Source organism: Homo sapiens, chromosome 17 (assembly GCF_000001405.40).
Source record: "Homo sapiens chromosome 17, GRCh38.p14 Primary Assembly".
Lineage (NCBI taxonomy): Eukaryota > Metazoa > Chordata > Mammalia > Primates > Hominidae > Homo > Homo sapiens.
The window spans coordinates 62,133,532-62,142,435 of NC_000017.11; the positions used below are offsets into that span (position 1 = coordinate 62,133,532).

Here is an 8,904-nt window from a genome sequence, read left to right on the forward strand (position 1 = left end):
CATTTTGATTATCGCTGTGGCTGTTATGTTAATCTTGTGTGTGTTGCAATTTGAAGAAGTGTCAGCTGGGAAAGTCTGGGTAGCGGTACTTGCGTGTGATTTCCATATTTAAAGTCTGGTCCTCAGCTTTGCTAAACTAAATTTTGTTAGTATACACAGAGACCAGCTCACATGAGTCATACTAGCACATATATATCAATGTGCCAGTTATTTTGTCACAACAAATTTTATTGTCACACAGGACATTCTGGTGAAGGTATTGGCTCCACTGACTTGACGCAGCTATCAGAGACCCAAGCAGACCACTCTCTTCCCATTAACATATTCTCTTTACAAGCACTGTAAAATATTATTATTTTTAAATTTTTTTGAGACAGAGTCTCTCTCTGTCGCCCAGGCAGGAGTTCAGTGGCGCAATCTCAGCTCACTGCAACCTCCGCCCCCCAGGTTCAAGCGATCCTCCTGCCACAGCCTCTTGAGTAGTTGGGATTATAGGCACCCACCACACAGCTAATTTTTGTATTTTTAGTAGAGACAAGGTTTCACCACGTTGACCAGGCTGGTCTCAAACTTCTGACCTCAAGCGATCCACCTGCCTCGGCCTCCCAAAGTGCTGGGATTACAGGCGTGAGCCACCACGCATGGCCAAAAAATAGTAGTAACCTCTCTCTAGGCCTGCTCCCTGAGGGTGCTTACAGGTCACCTTGATTGGATTTTGGGTGTGCCCAACCCTTCAGTTTTATTTTAACAGCAGATTTCTCAGCTCTGTCATTCCTGCTGATGGATAATCTCATCCATCACCTTTTGAGTGTTTTCTAATTTTATTTCTCAGAGAGAAACCTCAACTTCAGCTTTAGGGGTGCAGTCATTGCTAATATGAAAGATCATGTCAACCATTTACAAATAACTTTATTCAATTTAAAATTACTGTGTACTTTCAGCCATGATAAAATGAAGTAGTATTCCTTCAGTTGAGTCTAAAATTGTCTTCTCCCCATCTTCTTGGAATCCTTGCTATTTAGATAACTCCAGAGGGGCAAATGCTTAAAGTATTGACTCATCTACGTGAGAGAGAGTGCTTGGCACTTAAGTATGCTTTAATAGCTATCACTCTACGGAACAGATGTTTGTATGTTTCGTGGGCATCATAAATATTAAGAACGATGCTATAAGGTTTAGAAAGCATTTTCCATTAATTGTTAATGCTCACTGCATGGATAAGAGAGGGAAATTCCTTGGGGGAAAATCAAGAGACATTTTTATTTCTAACATTACTGTATTTCGATTTCAGGGCTGAAACTGGAGAGAATTAGTCTCTGATTTCTGGAATATTATATGAAAATTCTAATTACTGTAATGCTTGAGTGTCCCTTGTTCCTTATAGCTCCGTATTGAGATATGTAATGTGTAGTGATAATAGGAAACATGGTGGAAGGAGAAAGCAGGGGTGGATTCAAAGGCCAGTTCCACCTCTTCCTGGCTCAAGGATCATGGATTTACTTAGCCTCTTCGAATTTAGTTATTTAACCTGTAAAACAGAAGCTAATAAAAATGACCTCATGGAGTTATGACAATTTTTTAAAAATGTGTAAAAATGCTAGGTCAATTCCTGGATTGCAGTTAATTCTTCTTTGCATCAAATTAGAGATAGTAAGTGCTTGGTGTGGGCTATGCTCAAAAAAAGCCAATGTGTGCCTAAATTCTTTAAATTTTTGGCAAGTAAAGATTGCTTAGTGTTTCTTACCATCACATAGAAAGCTTTGCCCAGTAGGCTGGGTGCGGTGACTCATGCCTGTAATTCTAGCACTTTGGGAGGCCAAGGTGGGCTGATCACCTGGGGTTGGGAGTTCAAGACCAGCCTGACCAACATGGAGAAACCCCGACTCTACTAAAAATACAAAAATTAGCTGGGCATAGTGGCACATGCCTGTAAACCCAGCTACTTGGGAGGCTGAGGCAGGAGAATCACCTGAACCCGGGAGGCGGAGGTTGCGGTGAGCCGAGATCGAGCCATTGAACTCAAGCCTGGGCAACAAGAGCGAAACTCAGTCTCAAAAAAAAAAAAAAAAAAAAAAGAAAGCAAGCTTTGCCCAGTGAGACTTCAGGTCCCATATGCAGGTCTAGTGCCTGTCGATCTTTCCTATCTGCCCATGGCATTTATTCACTCATTTATTGAGGGCCCACTAGGCACTATAAAGGCAATATGGTGTCTGACCTAAACAAGCTCATAGTCTTGTAAAGGACATTGATGCAAAAACAATTACAATGTCATGGTAAGTATTACCTCTAATCAAGACAAGTTAAAGGGTGGGGGAAGGTCAGAGGGAGTACACAGTTCTGTTTAGGTAGGGGAAAGAAGCATATTAAGGAATAAGAAATCCAGGTACCCAGGGCACCAGGACATACTGGATGCCACGAAAATGAGAAATGTGCTGGTTAACTCAGGTTTCTGTACAAAACTCTTTACCTTGCTAGTAAAAGATAATTTGCTTCTGCTTGCACCAAAGAAGACAATGCTTTCAGATGGAAATTAACAAAACAAAACAGAAGACAAAAACCTCCTCTCTAGAGCTGACCTATGTCTGTTGATTAGTTTTATCATGAGCAGCTGCAGATGAAGTCAACTGAAATTCTGAAATCAAATCATGCATAGCACCAAGCTGTTTTTTTCTGGAATGAATTTTAAACTGTTGAACAAAGTCTAAATTTTAAATCCTTTGGTACATCTCCCAAATGGTCTGATTCAGTAAATTGCAAAAAAAAAAAAAAAAAAAAAAAAAAAAGAGAGAGAGAGAAAGATAGAAAGAAATGAGAATAAGAATTATAGAAAAATGAAGCTGGGCACAGTGGCTTACGCCTGTAATCCCAGCACTTTGGGAGGCTGAGGTGGGTGGATTACTTGAGGCCAGCATTCAAGACCAGCCTGGTCAACACGGTGAAGCCCCGTCTCTACTAAAAATACAAAAATTAGCCAGGCGTGGTGGAGGCGCACATCCGTAGTCCCAGCTACTAGGGAGGCTGAGGCAGAGAATCGTTCGAACTGGGGAGGCAGAGGTTGCAGTGAGCCGAGATGGCACCCCTGCACTCCAGCCTCGGTGACAGAGCAAGACGTCGTCTCAAAAAAACAAACAAACAAACAAACAAACAAAACACACACAAAGAAAAGGAAAAGAAAAAAGAGAAAAAAAAAAAGACCCTTGGCACGGTGAATCTGGGTGAATAGAGAGCATTTATTTTTCTTAGTCTTCTCAAACTTCTTTGAAGGTCTGTCTACACTTGCTGTCTCACTTTCTACCCATTCCTCAATTCACCACAACATGGCTGCTGCCTGCGCCACACCAGGTAAAGGCTCCTTCCACTTCACCAACAACTTTCTTTTTCTTTTTTTTTTTGGCAAAAGAGCTTTATTTACACACTGGCACAAGGCTCGTGGGGTGTCAGCTGAAGAAGTAGGTGGAACGCTTCACCTGCTCCAGGTCGAAGGCCCCTGGCTTGGGCACCGCCTGCAGTGTCTCCTTCAGCTGGCTGGCCTAAAAGATCTTCTGGGGCTCAGAGCAGAACCGCTTGACCAGGAACCTGGACAGGTCCTGCAGGATGGGCTCGCTGTGCAAGCGGACAAACTGCTCCCGGCACACCTGGTTCATGACAAGAGACATCAGCTGCGTGCGTCCAGTAACAGTCGTGCACAGAGACGAAGGTCAGGCCCTTCCTGTAGCAGTGCAGGGCGGTGAGCATCATGTGTGAGGAGTCCAGCGAGTGGATGAAGTTGGGCGGGAAGCCGTTCTTCTGCTTTCGTGTGTTGGGCTTTCGGCTGATGTCTCCGTTGTGGGTGTAGGTGATGCTCTGAATTCCACCTCCTATTTGCTTGACCTTGGAGTCCAGGCGATACGGCTGGATGACGGGGACGCCCAGGGGTGTGACCCACTCCACCACGGAGCCCGTGTGGGAGATGAGGCGGGCGCTCTCGGTCAGCCAGTGCTGGATGGCCCGGGTCCCCGAGAACATCTCCTGTAGACTCTTGAAGACCTGGCGTACGAGATAGTGGGAGGCCTCCCACACGAACTCCTGGGGAAAGTCGTTCAGCTCCCGGAGGCGCTTCTCAATCTGCAGGCGCCCGCCATAGCGGGTGACCCCGTACACCATGGTCATCACCGTCTGCTTCACCACCTCGCGGGTGATGAAACCTTCCAGCACCTGTGCCACCCGCGTGCCCCGCTGGGCGTCTTGCCTACGGAACACCTCCACCTGCCCAGCCACGCCGCTGTACACGTCCTGCGGCACATCCGAGGGCTCCAGGTTGACGGAGGCGGCGCCCACGCTGTCGCGGCCCAGAGCAGCATAATGCTGCAGGCCGTTGCAAGAGCCGTCCTGATGGACGGGGAGGTGGGAGACATAGGCGGCAGGGTCGGAGGCGCGCACAGTGTTCGCCACCTCCATACAGCAGGCCAGCGTCTGCCAGGGTTCCTCCGCGCCCATCCACCACTTTCGGCCCGTCAAGGGTTGGTCCGCGGAGTCCAAGATGTCATCCATCACCTCCTCCGCAAAGGCCAGGCGCTTCCGCAGAGGCTCCCGCTTCTTCAACCCCGTGAGGTTGACCAGGTGGATCTTGAGCCAATCCAGGCCGCGCGGGCCGAGCGGGCGGCCCTGGGCGAACTCCAGCAGGGCCCGCGCCACGTCGCTGCCCAGGTGGTTGAAGTGCGGCGGGCAGGGGTAGGTGCGGCTGCGGAAGTCCATGTTGTGCGGCCGCCAGAAGACGCGGTCCCGCAGGTGCTGCGCCAGCGAGAGGCGGTACAGCGCTTCCGCCCGCAGGCTGTGCATCTCCCGGGCCACCTTCTGGCAGTGCGCCAGCTCCCGGTGCAGCTCGGCCTTGCGGGCGGGCGCGGCGCTGTGCGGCAGGTGGGCTTCGGGCGGCTGGGGCGCCTCGGAGGGCGGGGCCGGCACGCCTAGGTAGGGGCAGCCCTTGGCCTGGAAGAGCTGCAGCACCAGGTCCAGCACGCGCCCGTTGACGCGCCAGGCGCAGTTGCCCAGTTGGGCGAGGGCGTCCAGCGCGCCATGCAGCGCGGTGGGCGGGCAGGTTTCCAGCAGCTCCTGGTGCTGCGTGGCGCCTTCCACCGTGCGCATCAGCTTGGTGGGGCTGAGCAGGAAGGCACCAGAGTGCGGCGATGTCCAGGGCAGCGGGGGGCAAAACATGGGTACATCCACCGCCTCGAAGGTCAGCGTGGGCTCCGTAGCCTTCTCCAGCAGCTGCACGTAGGCCGGGTGCGGCTTCAGGATGCCGATCTGCTGGACGTTGCGGAAGGAATACACGTGGTAGACCACAGGGACAAGCCGAGAGGAGCGATGCGGCTTGTCCAGGCTGCATGGCATCTGCGTAGCCTGCACCAGCATCTCCGCCAGCAGCTTGCCCAGCTCCATCTGCACTGGCAGGGGCCAGGGCTGCTCCCGCAGGGCCTCGGGCGCCCCCAGCGCCTCACAGTACTGCCGCGGCAAGCAAGGCTCGGGCACCTCGGCGTCGGAGGCCAGCAGGCATAGGTACTTCCTGTAGTGGTTCTGCAGCGCCTGCACCTGGGCACTGACCCGCTGCCTCTGCACCACGTGCCGGCTGAAAGTGCGCGCACTCAGCTCCCGGGCCAGGGTGGTGAAGGACTCACCTTGGGCGGGCAGCGCCTGCAGGACCTGCAGGAGCATCCGCACCACCTCGCACTCGTCCAGCAGGCACAGGAAGGGGTACAGTGAGAACCGGCCCTCGTACACCTGGCGCTCTAGGCGGTTCTTGGTCTCCCGTAGCTCCCGGCACAGTGCTTTCTCCCATTGGTCCCGCAGGGTCTTCAGGGTCTTCCGCGCGTGCGTGACCTCCTTGCTTGGCAACGTGGGCTTCTCCACGGACACCACGCACATCCTGCTGGCCAGCTCCACGTGGAGCTGCTTCTCAAAGAGGCACTGCAGGGTCTTCAGGGGCAGGTGCAGCTTCGGGTAGGACACACGCCCATCCTTGGCATACACGTCCCTGAGCAGCTTGGAGGTGTTGACCGGGGGCGGCAGCTGCAGCGGGAGGCTGAAGGTGGGCTTCACCTTGTGCACGGCCTTCAGAACAGTGGCCCGATCCTCCTCAGACAGGGGCACGGCGGTGAAGAGTGCCTGCAGCTTCAGCCCCTCCTGGCTCATCTGTTCCAGACACCTTTCGATGGTCCCGGCGTCCTGGTCCTGCCTCCCCATGCACTGGAGGGCAGCCGCATAGGACAGCAGGTCCGGGGTCAAGCCGGCATCCTTCACCATGAATAACACATACACCAGCTCCTTGAAGGCACCCTGCCGCGCCCAGCCAAGCATCACGGCGTTGTACATGTCCAGCGTGAGCAGCTTCCGCTTCTGCCGCTGGCCGTGGTGGACCACCAGCAGGTGGTGGGCGAGGGGCAGTTGGTCAGTGAGCAGGCAGCACTTGAAGAAGGCCAGGAGCCTCTGCTGCTGACCTGAGAGCTGGGCCTGCGAGTGCTGCGCCGACGGGGCCTGCTCCACATCGAGGCTCAGCTTCCCAGGGGCCTCCTGCAGCAGCCGGGCCAGCTGCTCCTCCCAGGGGCTCTCGGGGGGCCTGGCGCGTGCAGTGCTCCAGGCACCCGGCCATCTGCTTGCTCAGGAGCCGGGGCTCCACCTGCAGGCGCCTGGTCAGCGCCTTGAACTCCCCGCTCTGGAATGGCATCTGCAGCTTCGCCTTCAACCGCTGCATACGCATCTGCTGGGTCCGCTTATCCTTCTCCAGTCTCTTTGCCCAGCGGCCACAGGGCACCGGGGTGGCATCCTTGACCCCCATCTGGACCTTCCTGGGTGGCTGGAGGCTACCACCTCCACTGCCACATTCTGGGAGCCACGCCACATCCACCCTGTTCACCACCACCTCCGACACGCTCCCAGCCTGCAGCTGCCGCACCCGCGCCTGGAGCACCTCCAGCAGCTCCACGTGGCCCCAGTCCTTCCTGCGGTCTTGGTCTTGCTCCTGGGGGCTGGCGGATGAGCTCCTCCTGGGGCCGCAGACGCCACCGACGGTCCCTTCTTTGGCGGGGAGTCCCGGGCGGCCGCAAGGCCGCAGGGCCCGTTTGAGCCCCGCCGCTCCACAACTTTCTTGTTGGTAAATACAGGGGGCATTTCTTCAGATCTTAATTGATTTTTCTATACTCTGATTGCTTCCTCTTTCTGAGATGCTTGCTTCTCTTGGCTGCGTGGAACCATAGTCTCCTCTTTCTGCTTGCTCCTTCTTAGTTTCCTCTTGGGCTTTTTTTCCTTTGCCTGACCCTTATATGTTCGAGCTCTTAGAGATGGTCCTAAGTCTCTACTCTTCTCACCTTCACCCTCAACCATGGACATTGAAAGATTCTCCCCGGGGCCTGAAAACTTAAGGGAATGAATAACTCCTCCTTACTCAGGCCCAGTGCCAAGGCTCAAGGCCACTTGTACCAGCAGCGTGCGTCAGCAAGATAGCAGAAGCAGGAAGACAGCTGGCTGGAGGACACATACGCCGGAAGATTGAGAGGGAGGCCGTACGGGTACTACATAGCAGACACGTCAGACTGGGACACTGCCTGTTTACAGAGGACTATAAAACCCCTGCCCCGGACTCACTTGGAGCTGACGCCATTTTAGGCCTCAGTCCACCAGCACCCAGGCGCTTATTGAGACAGCGTGTTGTTCCACACCGCCTCACGTTGTCTGTTGGCGCGCTCTGCTCTCGCGGTTCGAACGATACAAGAGCCTTGCAGACATCTCATTTTATGGCTTTCTTTACTCTTTAGAAACAAATGACTCAAAAATCTATCATCTCTGGCCAGTCGCGGTGGCTCACGCCTGTAATCCCAGCACTTTGGGAGGCTGAGGCGGGTGGATCACAAGGTCAGGAGATCGAGACCATCCTGGCTAACACAGTGAAACCCCATCTCTATTAAAAAATACAAAAAACTAGCCGGGCGTGGTGGCACACACCTGTAATCCCAGCTACTTGGGAGGCTGAGGCAGGAGAGTCGCTTGAACCGGGGAGGCGGAGGTTGCAGTGAGCCGAGATTGCGCCACTGCAGTCCGCAGTCCGGCCTGGGCGACAGAGCGAGACTCCGTCTCAAAAAAAAAAAAAAAAAAAAAAAAAAAAAAAAATCTATCATATCTACCCTGATTCCTTTGGTGAGACCCAAATGCGACATTCATCTGCCTTCTAGATATCACCTAGATGACTTATAGGCACCCCAAGCTCCAAAATGGAACACATCCTTTCACCTCAACATCTGTTTCTCCTCTAGTGTTACGTAGCTTATTAAATAACTTTACCATGAACTTGGTTGACCACACCAGAAACCCGGGAGGTCTCCTTCAAATTGTTTATTCTCTCTCCTCCACCCCCAACCTGTCCATTATAATCAAATATGAAATTTTGTCACCTTGAAACCCTAAATATTTCTTTTTTTAACTTTTAAAAAAGCTTGGTAAAATACACACAACATAATTTTTTTTTTCAAGATAGGGTCTTACTCTGTCACTCAGGCTGGAGTGCAGTGGTGCCATCATGGCTCGCTGTAGCCTTGACCTCCCAAGCTCAAACAATCCTCCCGCCTCAGCCTCCTGAGTAGCTGGGACTACAGGTGCCTGCCCCCATGCCCAGCTAATTTCTGTATGTTTTTTAGAGAAGGGAGGAGGGGTATCACCATCTTTCCCACGCTTGTCTTAAACTCTTGACCTCAAGCGATCCTCCCACCTCAGCCTCCCAAAGTGTTGGGATTATAGGTGTGAGCCACCATGCCTGGCCCAGGTTTACCATTTTAACCTTTTTGCTTGTTTGTTTTTTGAGACGGAGTCTCACTCTGTCTGTCGCCCAGGCTGGAGTGCAATGTTGCGATCTTGGCTTACTGCAACCTCTGCCTCCCAGGT

At 52.9% G+C, this 8,904-nt stretch overlaps 1 pseudogene; it reads right to left on the reverse strand.

Annotated features, from left to right (window-relative positions):
- On the reverse strand, positions 3,392 to 7,108 carry POLRMTP1 (RNA polymerase mitochondrial pseudogene 1; annotated as a pseudogene).